Below are 27,135 nucleotides of genomic sequence, written 5' to 3'. Positions count from 1 at the left end.
ATATTCACCCAGAATTGTAACTCTTTGGTTAATAAGAGCTTTTCTTCACAGTTCATTCTACAAACGTTTCCTGAGTACCTAACAGTGCTAGGCATGCTTACACAGACTCAACCACACGTAGATTCATGGTGCAATAAACACGTGAGCCACTAACCACATGTGGCTACTGAGCCCCTGAAACACGTCTAGTCTGAATTGAGATGCGTTGTAAATGTAAATACACGGTGAATTTCAAAGAATTTAGAACAAAAAACACCTAATAATTTTTCAATATTGATTACATGGTGAAATATTTTTGATATGTTGGGTTACATAAAATATATTAAGATTAATTTCACCTATTTTAAATTTTTTAAAATGTGGCTAGTAGAAAATGTGAAATTACATATGCAACTTGGATTTGTGGCTTGCATTATATTTCTACTGCTTAGCATGGATATAGACAGCAGCCATGGCACAGTGAGAGCAACAGGTAGGACACTTTGAAAGGAGCCGCTGAGTAACTTATTCTGGTCTGGACAAAGCAGGAAAGATTATCCGGGGAAGATTCACTTTGCAGGCCTCTCAGAGGACAAGGAAAAGCTACTCAGGTGGAGGAATAGAGCTTGTATGTTCCACGTGGCAGAAACAATCAGCAGAAAGACAAGGTTTAAGGTGGCTAGAGCTCAGGGCATGGGCTGGGGATTGGAAGATGGTAATTTTACGTTATTGAAACATGGATACTGCTACGATTTGGCTCTGTGTCCCCACCTAAATATCATCTTGAATTGTACTCCTATAATTCCCATATGTTTTGGGAGGGACTCTGTGGAAGATAATTTGAATCATGGGGATGGCTTCCCCCATACTGTTCTCGTGGTAGTGAATAAGTCTCATGAGATCTGATGGTTTTACCAGGGGTTTCCTCTTTTGCAGCCTCATTTTCTCCCGCCGCCACCATGTAAGAAGTGCCTTTCTTCCTCTGCCATGATTCTGAGGCCTCTCCAGCCATGTGGAACTTTAAGTCCAGTTAAACTTCTTTTTTCTTCCCAGTCTCGGGTATGTCTCTATTAGCGGTGTGAAAACAGATGAATACAGTAGATTGGTAGCAGTAGAGTGGGGTGTTGCTGAAAAGACACCCAAAAATGTGGAAGCGACTTTGGAACTGGGTAACAGGCAGGGATTGGAACAGTTTGAAGGTCTCATAAGAAGACAGGAAAATGTTGGAGAGTTTAGAACTTCCTAGATACTTGTTGAATGGCTTTGCCCAAAATGCTGGTAGTGATATGGACAATAAAATCCAGGCTGAGGTGGTCTCAGATAGAGATGAGGAACTTGTTGGGAACTGGAGTAAAGGTGACTCTTATGTTTTAGCAAAGAGACTGGCAGCATTTTGCCCCTTCCCTAGAGATTTGTGGAACTTTGAACTTAAGATGATTTAGGGTATCTGGTGGATGAAATTTCTAAGCAGCAAAGCATTCAAGAGGTGACTTGGGTACTGTTAAAGGCATTCAGTTTTAAAAGGGAAGCAGAAGATAAAAGTTTGGAAAATTTGCAGCCTGACTATGCAATAGAAGAGAAAAACTCATTTTCTGGGAAGAAATTCAAGCTGGCTGCAGAAATTTGCTTAAGTAGCAAGGAGCCTAATGTTAATCTCAAAGACCATGGGGGAAATGTCTCCAGGCCATGTCAGAGACCTTCACAGAAGCCCCTCCCATTACAAGCCCAAGGTCCTGGAGGAAAAAATGGTTTCATGGGCCTGGCCCAGGGTCCCTGTGCTGTGTGCAGCCAAGGGACTTGGTGCTGTGTGTCCCAGCTGCTCCAGCTGTGGCCGAAAGGGGCCAAAGTACAGCTTGGGCTGTGGCTTTAGAGGGTGGAAACCCCAAGCCTTGGCAGTTTTCATGTGGCATTCAGCCTGCGGGTGCATAGAAGTCAAGAATTGAGGTTTGGGAACCTGTGTCTAGATTTCAGAAGATGTATGGAAACACCTGGATGCCCAGGCAAAAGTTTGCTGCAGGGGTGGGGCCCTCATGGAGAACTTCTTCTAGGGCAGTATAGAAGGGAAATGTGGGGTTGGAGCCCCCACACAGTTTCCCTACTAGAGCACTGCCTAGTGGAGCTGTGAGAAGAGGGCCACCGTTCTCCAGACCCCTGAATGGTAGATCCACCAACAGCTTGCACCACGTATTTGGAAAAGCTGTAGACACTCAACGCCAGCTGTGAAAGAAGCCAGGAGGGAGGCTGTACCCTGCAAAGCCACAGGGGCAGAGCTGCCCAAGACCATGGGAACCCATCTCTTGCATCAGCCTGACCTGGACCTGAGACCTGGAGTCAAAGGAGATCATTCTGGAGCTTTAAAATTTGACTGCCCTGCTGGATTTTGGACTTGCATGGGCTCTATAAACCCTTTGTTTTGGCCAATTTCTTCCATTTGGAACAGCTGTATTTACCCGATACATGTACCCCCATTGTATCTAGTATGTAACCAGCTTGCTTTTGATTTTAAAGGCTCATAGGCCGAAGGCACTTGCCTTCTCTCTCTGAGACTTTGGACTGTGGACTTTTGAGGTAATGGTGAAATGAGTTAAGACTTTGGGGGATTGTTGGTAAGGCATGATTGGTTTTGAAATGTGAGGACGTGAGATTTGGAGGGGCTGGGGTGGAATGCTATGGTTTGGCTCTGTGTTCCCATCCAAATCTCATCTTGAATTGTACTCCCATAATTCCCTTGTGTTGTGGGAGGTAACTGGTGGGAGATAATTTGAATCATGGGGTGGTTTCCCCCATACTGTTCTCATGGTATGAGCAAGTCTCATGTGATCTGATGGTTTTATCAGGGGTTTCAACTTTTGCATCCTTATTTTCTCTTGCTGCTGCCATGTAAGAAATACCTTTCACCCTCTGCCATGATTCTGAGGTCTCCCCAGCCATGTGGAACTGTAAGTCCGATTAAACCTCTTTTTCTTCCCAGTCTTGGTATGTCTTTATCAGCAGCATGAAAACAGACTAATACAGATACTTTTAGAAGAATTTATTAATCCAAAATATATTTCCCTTATGTTCAGATTGGAATTTCCTCTGTAGTATAGAAAGAACTAATGATACTGAGGAAGAAGCAGAAGCTTACTCTATTCAATCTTGAGAATTTCCAAAAGTATGAGAGAAGCTGAGACTTTAAGGGGTTTGAAGAAGACGATAGCATTCTTCTTCCAAGAGCAGCTGCCCACAGTGGTCCAGCATCTCAGGAAGGCAATGGGATGGAGTTCTGGAAGAGGACAGTGAGATAGATGGATAGGATGGTAAAGGGATAAGGGCTTAATAAGGCCTGGAGTAGGGCTTAGGATTCCATAGAACATGGGCAACTTTCACAGGGGCAATGACCAGGATCATGCACTAGTAATGGCTGTGGGTACAAATGTGATGCTCTAAGTCCATGTGGGACTCAGTACCTTGCTGGCCACCAGCTTTGTAAACAGACCTGACTAGTCAGGCTCCAGCAAGGACCAGTGAAGGTCTAGTTACCACTCTCCCTATCTCCTCATATGCTTTGGTGCCATCTTGAACAGAAATAGGAGAAGAAGAAGGGAAGGGGTGGAAAACTAAAAGCCTAAGATTTATCCTAAGGGGATTCCTTTGTGGTACCATAAGCTGGGACATTGAAAGTTTATTCTCAGGCCCTGCTATCCAGCAACTCGTAAGGATACTCAAATGTATTATGAGAAAGAAAGAAGCTACAGTTTCTTTGGATATGAAGATGGTTAAAGGCTTCTCCCAAGGAAATAAAGCTGCTTCTTTCTAAGCAGAAGTTAGGGAGAATAGCTTCTCCAAAATTATTTTACTTTTATTAGAGAATAATGAAAATATGTCATATAAATGTATATATGTATATTGTTATATACTTAAAAGTACATATTCTGTTTGAAGAGAGAAGTTAACTAAAACACATAGAAGAGAAAATATTAATGGGACTGAAATTATGAAGGGAACAGTAAATTTATGCAGCACAAATAGCATATCCAATTGTGTTATTAAATTGCTGTTCACTTCCTTAAAGTTTATGTTACTTTGGACAAAATTTCTTCTAAAATGTAACATTACCCAGTGTGGGGTGGGGTGTGGCGAGAGAGGGGGACAGAAAGGAGAAAAGGTTATTTTTCTGTCTCTTAGACTTACATATTTTTTTTGTTTCTGATGCTCCAAAATTTGAGGTAACAAAGAAAAGTGCTGCCAGTAAACAGTGGTATCAGGATGTCAAGGGGAGGAGAGTGGGCACAGTATGGACACCTTTCCATGTCACAGGGGTTTTAATGGTTCCTCCTGGGTTTTAGGGAACCGGCACGTGGTGGTGAATGTGCTGTTGTTGTCTGGAGTTCCTCCAGATGAGGGGTGCCCTCCCATTGGCCAGTTTCTCCTTTGATTCAGAAGTCAATTTTAGTACTCTCCCATTCATTCCTTTTTTTTTTTTTTTTTTTTTAAGAAGGAGTCTCATTCTGTCACCTGGGCTGCAGTGAAATGGTTCGATATGGGCTCACTGCAACCTCTGCCTCCTGGGTTCAAGTGATTCTCTTGCCTCAGCCTCCTGAGTAGCTGCCACTACAGACATGCACCACCACACTGGGCTAATTTTTGTATTTTTAGTAGAGATGGGATTTTACCATGTTGGCCAGGTTAGTCTTGAACTCCTGACCTCAGGTGATCCACCCACCTCGGCCTCCCTAAGTGCTGGGATTACTGGCGTGAGTCACCGTGCCTGGCCCCATTTATTCCTTTTTACTTCACTTAATCCAACCTGGCATTTGGTTAGTTGCAACCAAAAAAGTCCTGACTAATGCCTGGGATACTTAATAACCAAAACAAATATACTTTCAAGTATTTTGGAAGCATAGGTTTACATATATGCAATGCAACTGACACATACGTGGTGGTCAATAATGCTTAGAATAGTGGTATTATAAAGACAGTGCTATCATGAATTATTCCCAAACTTCAAGTTACTAAATAAATGTGAGCACAATGAAAACATTTTAGTTTTATTATTCAGACTTTACATTCCAAGATTGCCAATGAACTTGGATGATAAGAATCTGAGATTTTATTTAGCTTTGTCCTCTCTGCTAATATCTTCATTCTGAACAGTAGCATCTTAATCTCAGTGATTTCAGCTGCTGCTTTGTTCCTTCTTTTGTGTTTCTATATGTGAAAGGCAGGGATGGAGATTGCAGGATCATGTATGAATGTCTTTGATTAAATAAGGTTTTGAAGGGAAATCTCAGATGTGGTTCAATTTAGATAAGTACCTAACACATCTCCTTAGGAAACATGTCACTAACTTGAAATATAAGAATTCTAAGCTAGGGCAGTGTGAAGACTGTAAATATTTTAAAGCAATTTTTAAAAATATGCCAATATTGTTTCCTTCTCAAGGATCTACAGCCACTTTCTCTCTTATTTGTACTATCCTTCATTTAGTCATTAAAAAAATTGTACTACAGATATTTGCATGTCTACCAAGGGACAGGTTGGGATAGGTGTTGGATGCAGCTAACCAGGGAGTCTGTTGTGGGGACCATCAACTTCTCTCCATCCTTCCTTCATGTGTATAGTCTCTTCTATGCTCCTCCAATGTGTGTTGCTCATTGTTCTGGAGCAATCCATGCCTTCCAATTAGGACTATTAACTTCCAATTAGTACTGTTAACACATTGGTTCTCAATTTTCAACGAGCATAATTTTATACATTTTAATTTCTAGATAACTGGACAGTTCATACCCACATAAAATTAGTGGCATGTAATACTTCTTTTTAGAAAGATCACGTTGTCCTCTGCTACCAAATAGCTATTATGATACACTATTTGTACTCCCAAATTACTTATATTGCTCCCCCAAAAATCTTCGATTTTATCATCCTGCTTTTGAAAGTGTCCATGTGACACTGATTCAAATGTTTGAAATTAGTAGTGGAAAATTTATAGCAATAACAGCCTCTAATGATCAAAAGGTCCAAATATCTTCAGGGATTTCAGTAAGTAAACCAAACACATAGCAAATTATTTCAGCAGTGCATTCTGAAGAATTGCACATTTTGATCAGAGTTAGTCTTGGTAACCGTATGTTTCCAAGTGAATAAAACATCTTAATGTCCACAACTAGTGTTTCACTGAAGTTTTCTGCCAAAATATCCAGAAATAGCAGAAAATTCATTTTTATAATGGATTAATTTAGGAATATTGGCTCTTTCCCCTTCTCATCTTTACTTTTTTGCAAGATAAAGGATTGTCTTAAAACTTCTGGTTACACTTATGGCAAGGTATTAATACATACAATTAAATTAACAGCTATCATTAGAGGTTTGCCAGATAATCAAAGGTAGATAAGATTTTCAAGAAATTGAATGAACAGAAAGTTATGATCCTCAATTATCTTTAAAAGCTTTGATGTAAACCTCAATTGACTAAAAGGGAAAATGTTCTAACTGCATGTCAATTACACTATCACTATAGTACATATTGTAAAGGTGGTACATGATGTGTAAGCAGTAAAGAAATTAGGTGTGTTGCTGAGTTGAAATTAATATGAAAAGTTTTACGTTTCTATTAAGATATGGAACTAATAATCTACCTTCTATCCCAATTAGAATAGATGATTTCAAAGCATAAATATGATTCTAAAACTACTGCCTAAACAAGAAATAGCCAGTTCATTGAAAATCTACGTCAATCTGATTATTTACTATATGTATATGATACCAAATGGTGGATTGATTTCTATAATTTCCGCACTTCCACACGTCATGGGAATAGCATGCAGACATATTTATCCATTTGGATTTTTAAACTAATGAGGGCATATTTAATTCAATAAGCACAGAGAAATGTTTTTGCAATCAAAAGCTCAAAGGGCCACAAGGCTATTCACTTCAGAATACCGCCCCCATGTATTTCCTAAAATCCTGCAGACAGTTCATGGGAAACATTTTAATAAAAACCAAAAACTGTGTTATCATTATATTTAATGCTACTAATGTGCAGTCACTCATTCAATAAACATAAGTACAGTGCCTGGTATGGGTGCCTTGCATTAAATAGTTGTGACTGATATAAAAATGAGTAAGATATGCTTCCTGCTGTCCCAGGGTTTAAAACATAACAGATACAATAAATCAATAAACAAAAATAATAGTACACTACAGTGTTTTTGTTTACCTCTATATCCCTAGAACCCAACCCAATGTTTGAGATTCAGTAAATACTTGTGCAGTAGAATTCGTGCTATGAAAGAAAGCTGCCTAAAATTTTGTGGCCAAACTCTGCATGGAAGATTTGAGTAAGAGTGTAAAGAGTTGGTCTTGGAAGATTTGGGTAAGAGTGTAAAGAGTCGGTCTTGAAGGATGCATGGAAGTTTGCCAAAAATTTAAGGAAAAGGGGTTCCAAAACACAGAACAGAATTGCAATGATACAAAATGATTTTAAAAAGTTTTTATTCTTGCAGAAAAATGGGGATGGATTTATGAAGCTGCAATTAGACCACATGGGTGGAAACAATCATAAATGTTGCTGGTAAAATATGGTAAATCCATATCCCATTCGGAGAAGCTTATCCACTATTCTCTGAATGTGGAAAGCCATAGTAGGCTCTAAAAATGAGAGTCATAACAGATTTGTGAACTTTGGAAGCTCTATGGGTGTGGGCTGGAGGTAGAAGATTGGGGTCAGGAAGAGGATAGGGAATTTTTGGGGAGATTAGGATTGTACTAAAGCAGTGACATGGAAAATTGTGGTGGGAGGAGGCAGGGACATAAATTAGTGGGGAGGATGGACAGTTTTGAGTGGCGTGATTTGGTGACTGATTAAATACAGGGTGCAGGAGAGGAGAGTGGAATATACCCCTGTGGTTTTTCTTGGGTAAATTTTCATCTCTCATACTCTTTGAAAGAATTTCTTATGTAGCAGAGGCCCCTCCATGCATCCTTGAGCACAGCCACATAAAATAAATTGGATTAAATGGAACCTATTTTACAATTCAACCTCATATTTGTTGGTGTTAAAAAATGAATTTGACAGGGCACTTTCAACTAAGGACTGATGAGTCATAAATCATCAAGCAATAACCTTAGGACCTCAGTGAATTTCTCACCATTCTTCAGCACCTGCCAGAATCCAGGCTAACATCAAAAGCTTTTTAGTGTTAAAACAGATAGCAACCCCTTGTATGCTATAAACACATAAATGCAATGGTATCTTTCAAAGTAATTGTATTGGAATCTTCAAGGGCAACAATCATTTTTTTTCCTCTGAGGAATAGCAGACACTTATTCCCATGATTTAGCACATAGTAGAAGTTCAACAAATATTTAATGTGTGCATGTTGATTGCATCTTTGAAGAGCAGAAGCTCTTTTAAATGACTTTCCCTTGACCGATCTACTGGATTAAATGACACTCTTCATTCCTTCTTGGAGCATGCTATTGCCCAAAGCACTCGAGCGCTATGCCTAGTAGACTGCTCTGTTTAAGGGTAAGACCATTACCAAAAGTTGGCTGGGATTGGTGCTAAACCTGTTAATGTTATTTGAACTGGTTATGGTGGTTTTGCAAGTCAATTGCATTTTACTCATAAAATATAAGTATAGAATGGAAGGGAGTTGATCACTTTGAAAAATGCGTTTGAAAGATTCGGTAGATATGAGTTGCTAACAATTGCTGTTCAAATAGATGTATAAATATTTAAATCTGGAAAGTTTACTTTAAAAACCTGTACTTTGTTAGTGTGTTCTTTCTCCACTTTAAAGAAAACAAAACCAGACGTCATAGATGGTATGTTATGAAAGACAACAGGGAAATCCCATCAGTAGTAATAAATACATTCAGTATTTTTTTGGGCTGACGTCAAAATAATAGCAAAAATATACCTTTATTTGCTTTTAAGTTAAATAAATGCTTATGGAAAATATGCATCTAAAAATTCCCTGCGTTAACCAATTTCATTTTTGCATAATAGTTTCAGTGAGTTGGATAAGATGTCAACACTTTTTTTCTTGAAAGCAGCATATATTAGAGGAGTCTGTGTCAGCATTTAAACAGGCGTGGACATTCCTGTCTCCTTAACGACCTGTTCAAACACACCATTGGGTTCTAGCCTTTACCATCCTGGTGCTGGATAGAGACATTAACTTTCTCATAAGGCCATTTCATTGCGTGTTTACAGTTGTCTTCACATGATAAGCCATTCCTATCAGAGAAATAAAACATTAGGGAGGCATTTTGAAGACATTTAGAATATCAACCAAGCCATAATTTGAAACATAGTCATCAACTAGGTTCACACCATTGTTTCATAATGTTACACACTGATGAACAACTACATTCCATTGAACACTAGGATATTTCTCATTTTGTTTTTGAGCAATGATCAGAACCAGAAATAAATATTTTTGCAGGACTGATTTGGCATTTAAATAGGAGGTTGCATGCCAAGAAAAGGCTTCTTGGATATGTAAGGAATGCTCTCTGTATTATGAGCTGCGGGGAATTCTTTTCATAGCTGTGTCAGATAGCTTTTAGGATAACTCCATGGACATAGCCTGTATTATTCCCTCCTCTTGAATGTGGGTGGGACCTATGACTTGGTTTTAACCAATAGAATATGGCAAAGATGATGGGATGTTACTCCCATAATTAGGTCAGTTTGTCTGTCTGTCTACCTACCCACATGCATATACGGCTCTGTCTTGTTAGCATGCACTAGAGAGACTCTTCCGATAACCTCAAAGAAACAAGCTGCTATGATATAAATTGCCCATGCAGAGCATCACATAGCAGGAAAACATGGGTGGTCTCTAAAAGCTGAGGACCTCAGTCCTATAGCTGCAAGGAGCTGAATTCTGAATTCTGCCAACAATCATAGGCAGTTAGAAGAGGAACCTGAGTTCAAGATGAGAATGCGGGTGGCTGACACCTTGATTGCAGCCTTGAGCAGAGGAACTAGTGAGTTGTGCCCAGATTTCTGAACCACAGAGACTATGAGATGATAAATCTGTGTTGTTTTAAATTGCAGAGTTTATAGTACTTTGTTACACAACAGTAGAAAACAAATACAGCAGGATCAGTGGGCTTTTTCTTTTGGTTTTATTTCTGTCTTCCTCTTTCCTAATCCTACTTTTCCTACTAGCACTTACATTAATTCTGTTTTCACCGGACCTGTTGGGAGATCCAGATAACTATACCCCAGCAAGTCCCCTCAACACACCACCCCATACGAAACCAGAGTGATACTTTTTATTTGCCTATGGAATCTTACACTTTATTCCCCAAAATGTAGGAAGCATAACTGCAAATTTTGTGAATGCGTTGAATGTAAAAGTTTCTTCCAATAGGTATTTCTAAAATACCTGTTAATATATTGTCCCCATTTTCTCTATGTTTATCTATGAAAGATGCTTCTGAGTGTCTTCTGTTTCTGGTAGGTCTTCCTCCCTAATTTACTACAATTGATTTAGACATACATATTTTATTTATTTTTGAAGAATAAAGGAAATCAAATTTGTAGGAAAATAAAAATATGTGTTCTCACTGGGTTTATTAGATCAAGAGAAGAAGCTTTGTACATGTTTTAGAAAAACAGAATCATGAGTGATCACATTCTGTTGATTCCTTTGGAAATATATCCAGTACACACCTGCTGATTTTACTTTCTCCCGCTTATCTTTTTCTCCTTCCACTTTTTTCCCTCTCCCCAGTCCACCATAGTTCATTCCGTCTGCCAGAGTTAGTTGGCAGATCCATCCTGTGCATAGTGACATAGAGTGTATTTTCTTATGGAAATACAATCCACAAAGTGCAAGTTTTCTTTGATTGTTCATACCTGCATATGTGTTTTCTACCTCCTCAGGAAGTTTTGGAAATTTCAGAGGCAGAGGAGGGAAAAAGACCAATTTTACCTAAAAGTTCTGTTGACCACAGTACAGTCACTCTTGAGTCTGTCTGTAGGGTTACCACTGATCTTGTGGAAGGTCTTCAGATGGAGTAAATAGACAATATTCTTGTCCTTAATGCCACAGTTCTTTCCAAACATATAAGCTGAGTTTCTGACATTATTTTATGTTTTTATAGTTGCTCTGGAAAAGCAACACAATGCTGATTGCTAATTGGATTCTGAATAAACCATATTTGTATGTATATGAATTTGCCCACATGGTCACCTTTAACATTAATGGGAGTGTAAAAGATTGACTTTGTGTCTTGTGCTGAAAGGTTTTCACTTTCCAGATGCCTCAGAAAGTGAAGGAGAGCACTTATGTCATTTTCATGCCAACCAAAAGTAAAATGTTTTTTACTTAATGATGAGAAATAATTCCCAGCTCTACCCACGTGGAGGGGAGTGAAAAATGGCTCATCCACTTTCAATCAAGTTACCTGCATGTCAATAATGAAAGCAGATCTTTTAAACAACAACAGTAACAACAAAAAAGTAGAATAATGTTTTGATTTATGTGTTGAAGACCCATCAGAAATTATCTCTTTGGACAAACAGAGAAAGTAAAGTAAAGGAAGATATTTAAAATAAGATATAGAGGGAGATTCTTCAGCCTGTCTAAATGAAGAGCAAGTGTTGCAGGAAAATACACATTAATCAAGTAATTAACCTTTCAATAGTGTTATTTATTTTGGAGAGCAATTTTGCCACCCCAAGAATTATGGCCAGACATTTATTTTACCAGATTAAAAAAAGTAATGTATGTTAACTCTTTAATGGTTTAAAGAATGCATGTCATCTAAGTGGCTGACAGATTGCTGTGTAACTAGAGCTGAGGAACCAGCGTGCGGGAATAGGCTGTCACTCAAGCAGATGTCATCTTTGCAAAAGCTCAGAACACGTCTTTTTATTATTGAAGAGCATTGTCATGTTGGCAGATTCAGGGACAGAATCTGAAATAAAAAATCTTCATGCAAGGAGAAGTATGTCATTCCCCAGATCTGCTTAATGCTTTTTCTCCCAAGGCTGAAGGCCTTCTAGGTCATTGCTGGTCATTAGACTCAATTAAAAATTAGGAACAGAAAATTGATCTTCGCCTACCTCCAAATGCATCTGCATTAGGTGGCACATGGATGTTAAGCTTGCTAATAATTCAAAACTTGGCGTAGGCATATTTTCTTGAAACTTAACAGTTTGGAGAAAAAGAACATATCTAGGTTACCCCAGAGGAGAAAACAAATTATCTTTTGCCTTTCTGACATCTTATTCTCCTTCAGTGCACCTGGCCAATCTCCATCTGGCAGTGCTCTCAATCACCCAGATGGAAGGGGAGTTGAGGTGGCCCCTCCAAAAACTGATGAAGTTCAGCCTTACCACTGGTCTAATAGAATGTGCTCTATAGTGGAACGGGCTACATTATATGCATCTGTCTTTCAGGGACCAATAGGCTGAATATATTGTTTTTTTGCACCATAAAGCAAAGAAATATTTTTCTGACTGTTTCCACATTTACTTACCCATGATATTATCAGTAGATTGCTTTTATCATTATGCTTAGTTCCATGAATAATACTTTAGTGCTGTAGTTTGCTTAATACAGCATTTATCTAGGATTTTCTATCTTCTAGTATATGTAGACCAGAAATAACACTTCTTGTAATAATATGAGTATTTATTTTACTTTCAAGATGTTCAGATAACATGGGAGAGCAATATGATGGATGGTGTCATGTATATGTACAAAACGATAAAGTAAAGCAGTTAGCTTTTCTGCATACAAATCTTGCCAATTGATTATTAAAACTTGTTTAGAACTGTTGATTCAAATTCATCAAGGAAATGAATAGAATATTTGAAGCCCTGAAAATATCTCTATTTCTATTCCCGCCCACTGACCAGAGAGAGCTGTATAATGCAAAATTCAAAGAGATTCAGTTACTAAACAGAAGTCTCTAAAGAATAACCATAAGAGTTCTCATTTACATCACAGTCCTTGTGCAAGTTAAGAAGGAAGGATCACAAAGTTAAGAGTCTATTTCTATTTGAATAATTTCAATACATTACCAGAGCTAATTTTCTGTAATGTCCCTAAGACTGTAAGCAGAGACTTTATACTCCCTAGTCTCTTGTGATCAAAAAAACTTCCAAATCAGACTTGCAAATCGCCTTCTCATCACATCACTGGAGCTGCCAGATAAGAAAGTCTTGTAAGAAAGGGAACAACCAGAGTGCATTCATTAGTGTCATTGTACTCTAATTGAAGAAGTGACTTCTTTTGTATCCTAAGATGGAAAATCAGTTAGCTTGTGACTGGACTCCTTACATGTAGCTCCTGGCTGAATGGTAGAACAGTACTTACACATTCAAGAATGCCTATGATGATGGAAAATACTATAAAATATAGAATCTACTCTTTCAAGTTTACTTTAAGATGATGTTTGCACTTGAGTTACCATTTATTGCCTGTTGCTTTATAAATTATTGAAAAAAATCCTCTCAAAAGGGCATTTTCCATTACTTGGCTTACTGTTTTACATGTAGTATCTTTAGTTGTGAAGACATGATATGTCATTAATATGTTCTTTATGGATCTTTAATATGTCAAACCATCTTGGTTTCTGTGGGAACAGCTGTTCTAGCACCAGCTTATTCCAGTGGTAACAATTATACCCCCGATCTCTCTAAGCAGAAGAAGGTGCTACTTCTATAGCCTTATCAAGATCTAAATAAGCACTATTTGCCTCAAGCCAGGGATGCATTTTGGAGCAAATGAAGACAGATCCCAAGGGCATATATTTATCAGATCTATACTTGGTTTTCTTACATAGGTTGAAATGTGAAAAGACCATTTTATTAGAATTTTGTATTTATATATTTTTGAGCTTCAATTTTCTTACCTGGAAATTAGAATTAATGATTCCTACTTGACCATAGTGTCATGGGGCTAGAATGGGATGATGTTTGTGAAAATGCAGTGCAAACTGCATGGAGTGATGCAGAAGTGGAAGTTATTTTAATGGGAAATAATCGTTTCATATCTACTGCTGCTTATGTAATGAAGTGTATCTTGCTAGCTACTGAGTTCCCCATATGTGGAGAAACTAAAGCAGAATTTGTCAGGGTTACTATATAATGACACATCCAGTGGAAGGGACGATTAGCAAGATGATTACATGGTATCTACCAACCATAGACTTCTATGACCCTTTGATTTCATTTACAATTACATTTAATTGTAAAGCGTTTTTGGAGGGAGTGCTGAAGGGCTTGCAAATATGCATGTCAAGGGATATATATCAAAACAATGTTTAAAAAATTGTACAGGTGTAAAGATATTTGATTTGTGTATTATTAAGAGATGAACTGTGACAGGAGCTTATTCAAGGTCACATTTGGCTCATGCACTCAAGTCTTTTAAAAATTGTTACCTATTCGGGGAGATCTGAGGACCTTAAAAAATAACTCTGCCAATCTCAAAGGCAAAATGAAAAGTCTAGTAGCTCATTTACCATGTTATTTTCTTCATAAAGCATAGATTCATTAAATGTCCCAAAAAAGGCACAAATGAATATTCAGTGGTTAGGCTGGAATGAATGCTGAAGACACTAACTCTAGTTTTTACTGTTAGTTTAATAAAATATTTCCATGGCTTGGATGTGTTTCAGTTTATTTAATGTTAAGGCCCCCTTGCCCTGTTTTTTTTTCCTATCGTTGGCAATATCCATCAGATAATGACCTGACAAACCTAACCTGTCTTACTGTGCAGAATAATCAAAGTAGGTGAATACCAGCCTCTAGGAGAATTGTATCTCCTGCTTCTCAGTTTAATGTATGCGTGTCATAGGAATTCCCTGCAAAATTGTGCCTAGGGGCTTTAGGATCGAAGTCAAAGGGATTCATAGAATGAATGTGTTATAAATCTAGCTGTGGAAGATTGACGTTAAGGCCCCTTAAATGCTTGCTAAGTCTATTCACAAAAAGAGTTGGTACAGTTATCTCCTTTTTAGTAGCTGGTCGTTTTATTGCTCTTTAAAGAAATCATTAAAGATATTTGAAGTTGTCAGAATCAGAGGGTTCATGTTTTGGAGGAATTCCAGAAAAGAAACTCCTTACATAGAGACACTCTCAAGACAATTTAGGTATAGCAAAATCTATCTGGCAAAATAGACTAATAGAAGGCTTTTAAAATAACAAATACAATAGAATTGGTATTACTCTTTCATTCATTTATGTATATATTTATAGAGTCTTTTGTATGTCAGATACAATTCTAGGTGCTTCCTTCTCAAGAAGGAAGAAAACATATAGTGCCTGCTTTCATGAAGCTTACAGTATGATCAACTTTTCACCTGTGGAAAAATATAATTATGCTGTAAGTTGTTTGATGTCATTGGCAGCATTGGCATGTTGCCCTTTGATACATACTTTTAAATGCAGTGCCTAAAATAAAGTGCAGAGTGGTAGATCTTTGAAAAAAAGTCACCAAAGTGGAGAGCAAATACAGATACTGAGAGAACTGCAAAACAAGTCACGTAGCTTTATCCTGAGACAATACAAGAAGTTCATAGGTACTCTGACAATATGGTAGTTCAGCTTATTGCAGAGTCATACCTTAAGATTAGTGTTACACTGATTTTCTGATAACACACACATACACACACACACATTTCATTGCAACTCAGTAGAGTGGAACGGTATATTGTCAGAATCCAGACCTCTTGGAAACTATGGGGTATTGATGTTGGTGTCCCTTCACGTTCACTTCCAGAGGTCACCTGTTGTTGTCTGTCTCTTTAGGCTCCAAAATTGTGCTTGGGCAAACTAAATGGATAAGTGATGGCTTTTAGGCTTTTAAGAGAAAGGCATATCTTCACCTTTAAATTCCCATGCTTAAAAGCTTGAATTCCACCATTAGGCTACTATCTAAACTCTCAAACGTCATTAGCAAATCACATGAACATTTACTAGTTGAAATTGTCCTAATGAAAAGACGGAGCTAAGCCTTGCAGAGAAAGAAAACAAAGATGCATTAGACAGTTCCGTACTCATAAGATTCTTATACTCCAGCTTGAGAAAAGAGTGACTATCAGGTTAAATGCTGATAAAAGATTGCAATAGCATTTTATGATTATAGATGCTTTTACATGGGATAGTGCTGATGAATTGCCAAATGAATTGCACAACCAGGCCTTTGGCCTATTTTATTGGGCACAGGAGGCTGAATTCTATTATTCTTGTTGCTCAAGAGGGCTCCTCTTCATGAGTTAAAATAGCTGAGCTTCCTCTATACCCATTAAGAATTTGGTTTCCAGCTAACAGAGCTTAGAGAAGGAAGAGCATTTTAATTATTTTCTCCATTTCTTCTTTACTCCCCGCCCTGTACAAAGCAAACATGCTTCTTTGGTGAAAGCTCTTTTCCACAGTTTGACAATTCATCACCCATCTCTGAGTGTCTCTCTCCCTTTTTGCTTTTAAGCTCAATGTTCAGACATTTATCTTCACAGAGGTGAACAGAGGGAACATCTTTAAATATGGCATCGATACGATGTGTCCTGGCCCAGATGCAAGCCTCTTAAGTCAGTTTCCCTCAATCCTGTTACTACACATTAGCTCTGAACAGGATTATCTACCAGCCTGCCAGTCAAGATGTTCGGGGTGGCGGGGAGGGGGAAAAGGGAGAGCAAAGAGCTTTTCTGCTCATCAGTCTGCCTTGGGACTGGTGGGATGAAAATTTGTTCTGACCTTGCTTTATTCATGTGGCTATGGATTGCAGTTACTGCTGTATATGCTGCAGGAAAAAAAAAAAAGAAAAAAAGAAAAGAAAACTGATCGGAAACATACACACTCCTTCGTTATATACATGGATTTCCAGAAAATTACACAGAAATGTTATCTGCATATGTAATTTATAGCACATTTTAATCAATATTTAAAGAAATTTAGCAGTTGAGTCCTAATAAGTGATTATTTAGATTGGATTGGTTGGGAGCTAATGAAATAATTAGCACCATTTCAATGTGATTAATTTATAGCTGTATATTAAGTGCTCAATTAGTTTAAGAAATCTGAGTTCCACAAGTGCTGGCTGAAGAAGGCAAATGTCTCAGCAGTGGTAAAGCTGATTGAATTGAAGTTTTGCAAGTCTTTGAAATCAGCTGTTGCCATATCAGCACCTCAACATATTGAGCCCAGGGCATGGCTTCAGGAGGGAGCGATAAAAATAGACGCTGGTAGACCCAGGGGATTCAGCAGGTGAGGAAAACCTTTTTATGATAGGACTCATCAATACCCCATAGATGAACATAAAAGGCAAACTGTTTAGGAGCTGTATTAGGCCATTCTTGCATGGCTACTAAGAAATGCCTGAAACTGGGTAATTTAAAACGAAAGGAGATTTATTTGGCTCGTGGTTCTGCAGGCTTTATACGAAGCATGGTGATGGCATTTGCTTGGCTTCCTGTGGGGGGTGGGGCTCAGGAAGTTTACAATCATGGTGGAAGATGAAAGGGAGCAGGTGTCTCACATGGCAGGAGTAGGAGAAAGTGGGGAAGGAGGTGCCACATGCATTTAAATCACCAGATCTCATGAGAACTCACTATCATGGAGACAGTACTAAGCCATGAGGGATCCACCCCCATGATCCAAACACCTCTGACCAGGCCCCACCTCTAGAATTGGGGATTATAATTCAACATGAGATTTGGGTAGGGACAAATATCCAAACTATATCGGGAACTTTTGAGTTACAGGTTATGGGGGTAAAATGTCACTGCCATCCCTAAAACCCTTCAAGTTTGTTTATACAACTGAAAGAAAAACACCTTTCATGATCATAGGACGTTCCCTTATCCTTAGTGTATCTGATGACTTTGTTTTACTCTTTGTTGAGTAGACTTTATGACCATTATAACTCTGCTTCTTCTTTATATTTTATTTTTGAAAGTATTCAAATACACTTTTAAGCTTATCCAATTATATGTATTTCAAAAATTTACAAGTTTGACATTTTTAGATTATAATCTCCTCAAGAACAAGAACATATTTTCAACTCAACTCTCTAAAGTATGTGTAAAAACCTGTGAAAGGTCTTGCGGTTTTAATTAGTTAGACTGATGCAGTTTCATAGATGTTGGAAGAATGCAGGAAACTCTTGGGTCAGAGGCAAAAGACCTTATTATTCATAGTAATAGTAGTGCCCAGAATTACAGACCTTCTGGCATCTGTCCCCCAAGCCTCAATACCTATAGGGCAATACAAAGAGGGCCAGATGACATCTGCACATACAGTAGGTTGCTTTGCTGGAGGGGAACCCTAAGCTTAGGAAAACCAAATCTATTATAACGGGTAATAAGGATGTCTGCCTCTTTTGTTCTAGAGGGAGACATTATTTCTGTCTTCTAAGACTCTTCATTACACAAACATTGTTGAAAAAATTTGTCAGGAAGAAAGGCAGTTGGTGTCTCTGCTTGCAAGGTGTGCACAAATGTGGGAGATCCATCAAGAATTTTCTCCCAACAGTACCCAGCAAAATGTCTTGTGGAGGAACTGAGACTGTTTGTTATAAAGAAACAAAGACGGAGGGTATCCTGATCTCTGTCTTCAAGCAATGAAGTGGAAAGAGTTTCGTCTGTGCCCCTTGGGCCCCTTATTAGGTAAAACAAGGAAAGTAAATGAAATCAGATTTCAAATCACTTGTTATGTACTTATTTGAGTTATAAACTAAAATACTGTTATTAAGTGATATGGTTTGGCTCTGTGTCCCCATCCAAATGTCATCTCCAATAGTAATCTCCACGTGTTGAGGGAGGGACATGGTGGGAGGTGATGGATCATGGGGGCAGTTTCTACCATGCTTTTTTTGTGATAGTGAGTGAGTTCTCACAAGATCTGGTGGTTTAAAAGTATTTGGCAGTTCCTCCCTGGCTCTCTCTTCTGCCATCTTGTAAAGAAGGTGCCTGCATCCCCTTTGCATTCCACCATGATTGCAAGTTTCCAGAGGCCTGCCCAGCCATGTGGAACTATGAGTCAATTAAACCTCTTTTGTGTATAAATTACCCAGTCCCAGGCAATTCTTTATAGCAGTGTGAAAACAGACTAATACATTATGGAAAATCCAATTAATGTAAAAGTGAAAGCCCTACTTCCCTTACCTCATCCCACTTCCATGGGGGTAACTACCATTAACATTTTGGTAAGAGAAAAGTACTTCTAGTGATTAAGGCTGTACCGTGGTATCATTGACTTCTGGGAAGTATTTTCCTACCATAGACAGGATGAACCACTACTCCTCAGGCATATTATAGTAGACAAGATGCTCTTTAGACAAATGCTCTTCCATTTAAATTCCATAACTCTGGAAATAACATGTTGTGCCTTTACTGAGTATATAATTTACTTCCATTTTTTATTGTAAGAATTACTCTTATTTATTACTCTTATTTATTTTTCCTTACGATAAACAATGGAAGTACATATCTATCTATCAGCTTGGCTTTTAGCAAGAAATCATTATTTCTAGTGGTGGTGAAACATCTGGCCAACAGGTGTCCAAGATTTCAATATCCCCTACTCATTATCATTTGCAGGGGATAAGGTTAGAGTCTACTTCTCTAATGGTAAAGAGAAATTAGGAGTCTTTCTCAGGTTGTGCTAGCCAATATTCCACATTTCTACTTTTGTTAATGTTCCATGCTTGACAAAGATTGGTGGCTTGTGTTCTGAAACAGAGGGCATTATCATATTCTTTTCTCTGAAAGCAGACTGTATATTGATTATTTTTATATGGCAATTTTCTCAGGGAAGAGAATATGAGATTTTGAATATAAATTGTAGTTGCTCATCAGGGTAAGGAATGCCAGATAAGCAAAATAGGAATGAATTTGTTAAATATCAGTTTTCCAAAATTATGTTAAAAGTTAAAACTATGGAAATTAGTTAAAACTATGCAATTTTATGGCAAAATCAACATGATCGTTAACTGAAAATTACCATAAGTAAGAGGAAGGCCCATTTTATTTTGAAGAATGGTACATTTACCCAACACTTGGAATCATTGTGGAGAGGTAGGACTGTGAGGGATGGGTTTGGTGGCTAAGATTTGCAGGGAGTGGAGGGAGAGGCACTAACAGAGCTGGGGACTGATTCTGATGCATGGATCATATATTTGCTGAATGGTTTGGGGAAACGAGTGCGAATGGTGGAGTTATTCTACTGTCTGTGGGTTTCACCTTTTTCCCACTGAATAATGAAAAAGTAAAAGAGTTTGATAGGCCCTGCTATTGGTTTAGTAAAGCTTTGGTTTCTAGCAGTGATATGATTTGGATCTGTGTCCTCACCCAAATCTCATGTTGAAATGTAATCCTCAGGATTACTGCAGGAGGTGGGGTCTGGTGGGAGGTGGTTTGATCATGGGGCAGTTTCTCATGGTTCAATACCATCCCTCTTAGTGCTATTGTTGCAACAGTGAGTTCTGGTGTGATCTGGTTGTTTTAGAGTGTGTAGTGCCTTCTCCCTCTCTTTCTTCCTCCTATTCTGGCCATGTAAGATGTTCCTGCTCCGCCTTCACCTTTTGCCATTATTGTAAGTTTTCTGAGGCCTCCTCAGAAGTTGAGCAGATGCCAGCATCATGCTTCCTGTACAGCCTGCAGAACTGCAAGCCAATACACCTCTTTTTTTTAATAAATTACCCAGTCTCAGCTATTTCTTTATAGCACTGTGAGAACAGACTAATACAACAGTATCCCAGTCTGCAAAACAGAATATACTTGATACTAAAACAGTACCAAATCTTAAGTGAATGTGACAATTCAGGAGGCATGGCTCTAGGGTCCTTCTTATGAGACTATTTCAAATTTTATCCTGAAAATTCTGTTTTGGTGCTTTGGCTATTTTGATTAGATTCGGAAAGAAGGCTATACTTATAATGGAGTCTGAATATGAACTTAGTGGCTGCAACTCCAGGACTTTCTGTGAAGTAAGATGGATGGAACTATCTTTTTTTTTTTAAAATAGGTTCTCACTCTGTCACCCAGGCTGGAGTGCAATGGCATGATCATGGCCCACTGTAGCCTTGACCTCTCAGGCTCAGGTGATCTTCGCACCTCACCCTCCCAAGTAGCTGACAGGTGTGTGCCACCATGTCTGGCGAATTTTTTGTAGAGACAGCATTTAGCCATGTTGCCCAGGCTAGTCTTGAACTCCTGGCTCAAGTGATCTGCCTGCCTCAACCTCCCAAAGTGCTGGGATTACAGTTGTGAGCCACCATGCCTGACCTAGAGCTATTTTAGATACACTGTCCTGTATGTTGTAGAGTGAGCCACTTGAACCTTCCAATTTATTTAATCACTAAATCTGAGATGTTTATGTTCTCTCTCTGCATAATATGAATATATACATAATATATGCATATATGTGTGTGTACATATATATAATTATTTCTTTTCTTTCCACGATTTTTTCCCATACTCTGAGATAAAAAACACATCTCCAACAAATACATTCAGGATTTACCCACTGAACTTATATTAACACGTAAGTCAGAAAAGCAGATGCAGACAATGTGAATCCCCTTTAAGTCCACTCCTTGCTTTGCTTAAGCTCCCCTTATCCTGTGTTGTGAACTCTGCACATGAATCAGTGTTTGTTTTCTTGGCTGCTTTACTAGTGGAATTAGACTTTCAGTGTGTTTACGTCGGTGCCCAGTATCCTGGTGAGCTCTATTTTCCTCAACTCTTCCCTATAATATAACCAAGGAAACAAACAAAACCTGTCTAAGGCCTGATAACTTAAACAATTAATTCAAAGAGGGAAGCGGTTTTGACAACACAAAAGTTAAACAAGATATAAGAAAATCACATTTATCTTCAAAGTTCAATACCTGTCCAGATCTTTTAAGTTCTGATTAATATCCTAAAATCTGTAGGAAGTCTTGTTCAAGTTTAATTTGGAGCAGAATTGTGCTAAGTTCAGGTTTTTAACAGGCATTATGGGTGATTTAACTTTTATTCATGTGATAAAATTACATACATATTCCTTTTCAGAATATGCATGCATGACTTTTTTTTTTTTTGCAGATAAAGGCTTGTTTTATTTTAATGGCTGATCTATGTAATCATGGAGGCCAGCATTACAGACAAATGGGGAGCTTTTATTTCTTGGTGTCTTCCTCCTTGGACAAAGTCTTCATCATCTCCCACTTCTTGGCCTGGAGGCGCTCTTCACTGTGCTTGCGTGCGTCCTTGGTCTTGGACCTGCGGGCCTCAGCCTGGTCAGCCAGGAGCTTCTTGCAGGCCTTGCCTGCCTTCAGCTTGCGGATGTATTCCATGAGAATCTGCTTGTTTTTGAACACATTCCCCTTCATCTGCAGGTACAGGCTGTGATACATGTGGCAATCAATTTTCTTAGATTCATGGTATCTTCTGAGCAGCCGACACAGAATCCTCGTTCTCCTTATCCAAGTGACCTGCCCTGGCATTTGGGCATTTGGCTGTATGCTTTTTCTTACCTATGCACATGTGCTTGCCCTTCTGGTGGGCCAAGGTGTTTTTCCAGAATTGAGCCTGGGAATGGACAGTCACAGGCTTCCAGATGATCAGCCCATCTTTGATCAGCTTCCGGATCTACTGACGAGAGTTGGCATTGGCGATTTCATTGATCTCATCGGGGTCCAACCAGACCTTCTTCTTGCCCCAGTGGAGGACACTAGAGGCGAGCCTCTTCTGAAGCCGAAGCATACTCATGGCTGTGGCCGCAGCAGTGAAAGGAATGAGGAAAGGGCTCCGCATGCATGACTTTCTGTAGCCCCCATTAACTGGAAAATAGTTATCATTCTGGAATGTTTACCTCTCAGTACCTTGTCACAAAGGTGCAGTGAGTCAAACATGACTGGCATAAAATTACACTCTGGTTTTCTTAGTTGATTTCAGTCACAAAAGGCTGAGGAATTGATCTGTCCACACAAACAGAACTAAGTGCAGTGGTCACTATTGTTTCTGGGTGGTTCTATCTCTCACCATTCTCACAGAGGCTTGGCCAGTCTCCTTTCTATCTCCTGGGCTGACATTTGCTTTCATCCAGCCTGCTGTGCTTCACATTCATATAGACATGTCCCATTATGTTAGAGATTTAGAGCCTGTGGTGCCTTGCACTGGTTAATATCATTCTGTGATATTTACTGAGCACTCATAATGTGCTAGGTGCCGTAAGACTGCCCATATGATGGAGTCCAGCTGTGAGCACAGTACAACATGGCAGGTTGACACACTGGGTATTTTTCCTAGCTTTAATTTCTTAAGCCGAGATGGGATTATTGTCCCATTTTTCTTCTCCATGAGGAGCATTTAACTTCATTCTATATTGTGTTCCCTGCATGCCTACTGACAATCCGAAGATAATATCACTTGGTGCTTGAAGCTAGAAATCCTTATTTGTTCTGATATCGTATAATTTATGTTTGCAATTTCAGGCAGGTACAAATTTCTCAGAGTGTATGGTGTTTCTTGTAAGAACATTCAAGAAATTTATCTCAGCTTCTTTAAAACTAGAATTTAAAAGCTCAAATATCTACATTCGGCTCAATAACCACAGACAGTAATGACACTTCTAAGTAGCTAATGCAGGCGTGTAATTTGCTCATAGCCCTGATTTAACTTTATTTACAGATTAAAATTGAATTGCAGTTGATTTATTGATATAATAGGCAGAAAGTGATTATCAAGCATCATCCATCACTGATAGAGGAAAAACCAATCAAATTATGTTCCAAGGTTTGCTTTAACCTAAACTAACTCATTACCTTATAAAACTCAGAGGATTTGAGTCATATTCTCCCGCTAAAGTCAATGAGCCACAACTCCCACTAAACTCATATCTGCTCCTTTAAAGGCATTCAAGAGTTATACTAATTTGCACGACCACCAAGTTGTTATAAAAGGAAATGGCAATCGGCTGGAGATTTAGTGTCTGTACTTTCTCCCCATGTATGTAGCCATGGTAATATTCTTTAATGTTTATTGTAAATCCATAAATGGGCTTGGTCTCATGCTATCCATGAAATGGTATCGACCTGTGCATACAACTCAGCTGGAAAGATGTGTGGAGTAAAGGATGCTGGTGCTTTCAATAGTGACAAGCTGATTAGAAAATGTGTCCCTTTGGAGGGAGAACTGGGATCTATCTGTGTTCCAGAAAACAATGAAATTTCTTGATTAGAAGCAGGCGATGATGGTGACTTTGATCTTAGACATTCATAACTCTACTCTTCGGAAGGAGAAAAAGTGTGAGGTGGGGGAGAATTTGGCAGAGCAACATCAGACATGTCACCCTGTGCCAGGGGTTGAGCATGGTGCCCTGGGGGCTGTGTTGTAAGAGTGGCCCGGTATGGATTTCCCTCCATTCTTATCACTGAACCCTGGCAAGATAAAGTTAAGAAATCCAGTGCTACACTATTTCAGAGGCTTGCCAATGTCATATGACAGCAGCACTCATTCTCATTACCTGGGGGCATTCTTAAATTGGAAGTTCTGTGTTTATGCACTTGCAAATTATATACCCAGAGATATACTTTTTTAAAAAAGCTATCATTCTATGAAGTATGATGTGAAACTTTTAAATATAATCTTTACATTCATCCTCATTTATGTTGCTGCTAGTTATTTCATATATCTATGATAGAAAATCTTGCTGTTGTCAGTAATTGCTATTTTAATTATGCCTGAGCCCTAAGGAGATTCAGAGAAAGAGCATAATTACTAGAAATCCAAGGCCATTGAGCAGCATGTTCAAGTTTGTTTTTATCACATTGTTCATTTTTACCTATCGTGTTCTACACTGTTAATTCTTAAGACATTCATCTGTACTTTAGAAAATGAAACTCCGTTTAAATTGTTCCCAACATCATGTCCTCCAAATCCAGTAGACGGTGCTCATTGACTTCAAAGAATATTTCTTGTGCACTTAAGTGCCACAGGGAACGGAGAAAGATGAAAGAAATACTTTCTCTAATTATATATAGGTACATATTCATTTTACTGTCCCATCCAATATTGCTGATCCTCCATGATAAACTTTTTTCTTTAATGAGTATATTTTATACTCATGTAACCTTGTTCATCCTCTGCCATGTTATGCACATTTACTTTGCCCATTATCCAAATATGCATTATTCAAAGAAAAGACAAGTAATGATGTGATTCAGATATCATTTTCAAGAATCTCTGAGTTGGAAGTGGGGTGATTACAGAGAAACTCATTTGGCTGCTTTCATTTATAGCTGCAAAGTATTCATACGGGATACATAAGATTCATTAGAGAGGAAGCTGCTAATCTCAAAATAAATATTTTCATTTTAAAAATAGAGACTAAATGAGTATTAGATCAGCTTTCTTCTAATGTCCAGTGTCAAACGGTGTGCAGCACCCAGCCCATGCCTAGCACATGGTTGAAGCTCATTTGTTCTTGGTTCCTAACCTATCCATTCTTTTTCGCTTAAATGTGTTTCCCATTAGTGCGTGATACTTCCCAGGAAGTATATATTCTCTCATGATATTCTATGGGTTGCCTTTGTTTTTGTGCTCTTCATCTCATTACAAATGTTTCTATTCATTCTTTTTCACACACACAAAAAATGCTCCATTGATCATTTCAGCATCCACCTTTAAATCTTGTCCCTGCACCTGCTAACACTCATCTCTCTGTGGCTCCTTCAGATCCCGGAGTTCTCTGTAAAAAAATCATGGTTCTCACTGTAACACTGTGACTAACATCAAGACCATTCTAAACAAACACTTGGAACATTTAATCATGGGAATTTAGAAGACACAGGAAGTACTGTGGGACATGAGATTCTCTATGTTAATTTGCATTGAAAAGATACTGATTTTCAGTTTTACTTTGGGATGCTATGCTGTGCATTACTATGTTTATTTAGAGGTGGCTACATTTCATAGCTTGCAGAATATTTCACTGAGAAATCATATGAACTTTGACAAATATTTTGTTTTATTGTGAGAATGTGCTAGTTGGGTTATTCTAACAGGAAGGGGAAGTTCTAGCTTTAAATGCCATTATCTGTGCATGCTTGCTAGGCTTTTAACTTTGGTGCAGTGCTTTCAAAGATTACCAAGCCCCAGGGTACCTAGGGAGCATTAAGCACAGGCCATTGAGAGGATAAACCATGCATGCTTTGTAAGCATGCACACCAAATACCCATCTGAAAAAGCACTTGCTTTTTATGTATTCAGTGATTGAGTTGCAAGCACCGGCACCTCAATGCTTCTGCTTAGTGAGAAACTCATTTCATATTCTATTTCATTCAACTGATATTTCATTTAGCCCCTAGAATAATTCATGCATTAGTCTAAGTCCTAGAAATATAAAGGTGGATATACTGCAGTTCTTGTCCTCAAGGAGCTTATGGCTTAGGGATAAGCCATATGCATCCATATAGCAGGTATCGTGCAGTGAGATAAGTATTAGCCAATTAAAAATGTGAATGGACATTTATGTTGCATTGCACTATGGAGAGGGAGTTAAATTATGCTAGTAGGAAAGGTGGGAGGAAGGGACCTTTCATAAAGAAGGTAGCATGATCCAAAGGCAGGGATGACAGAGTATGGGGTTTTCCTCATGAGTGGGCTCCCGGAAGCTGTCAGGGCTGGAAATACAGGTTTGGGAAGTTATTGACTTTTTGGCAGTTGCTAAAGTCATGGGAAGATATTATTGAAGGAAATAATGTAGAGAAAATAAGGAAAACACCAACAATAACAGACGAGTGTAGGAAGAGAATATAGTAAAAGGGACTAACAAAGGAAAGTCAGAGAAGTTTAGGGAAAAGCAAGCATGGAGATACTGAAGCCAAAGGAGGAGCTTGAAGAAAAAACAGAGGTTGACATGCATATTCCATGGAAATAGATCTAAAAAACACCATCTTAAAACATTGGTCCTCCTGCACACCAAAGGATTTTTGTTGTTGTTGTTATTTTAAGATGTTGTAAGATATCACTAAAAATGTAAATGTTCTCAGAAGAGATTTTGTCCCATGTGGACACACTGAGTGTCAAATCAGTGTTTTTCTCTCAAATGCTGGAACCGTGGCATAATTATAGTTTTATAAGGATGCTGAGATGTAATTTTTTTTTTTTGTAGGCCTAGGGTTAGCTGTGGACTACATTGAGAAGTATATGAAA

General features: G+C 38.5%; 1 pseudogene, besides 1 other annotated feature; it reads right to left on the bottom strand.

Annotated features, from left to right (window-relative positions):
- On the bottom strand, positions 22,020-22,732 carry RPL19P11 (ribosomal protein L19 pseudogene 11; annotated as a pseudogene).
- Positions 22,055-23,254: an enhancer, noted in NCBI's record as "CDK7 strongly-dependent group 2 enhancer chr5:31053108-31054307 (GRCh37/hg19 assembly coordinates)". NCBI's record gives its function as "activates an origin of replication core promoter dependent on BRD2, BRD4, P300/CBP, MED14 and CDK7 cofactors, with strong dependence on CDK7, by STARR-seq in HCT116 cells {active_cell/tissue: HCT116}" and the evidence as "EXISTENCE:reporter gene assay evidence [ECO:0000049][PMID:35650434]".

The sequence above is a fragment of the Homo sapiens genome, chromosome 5, assembly GCF_000001405.40.
Source record: "Homo sapiens chromosome 5, GRCh38.p14 Primary Assembly".
NCBI lineage: Eukaryota > Metazoa > Chordata > Mammalia > Primates > Hominidae > Homo > Homo sapiens.
The sequence above is the reverse complement of the archived record's forward strand: the minus strand, read 5'-3'. Positions and strand labels throughout refer to the sequence as shown.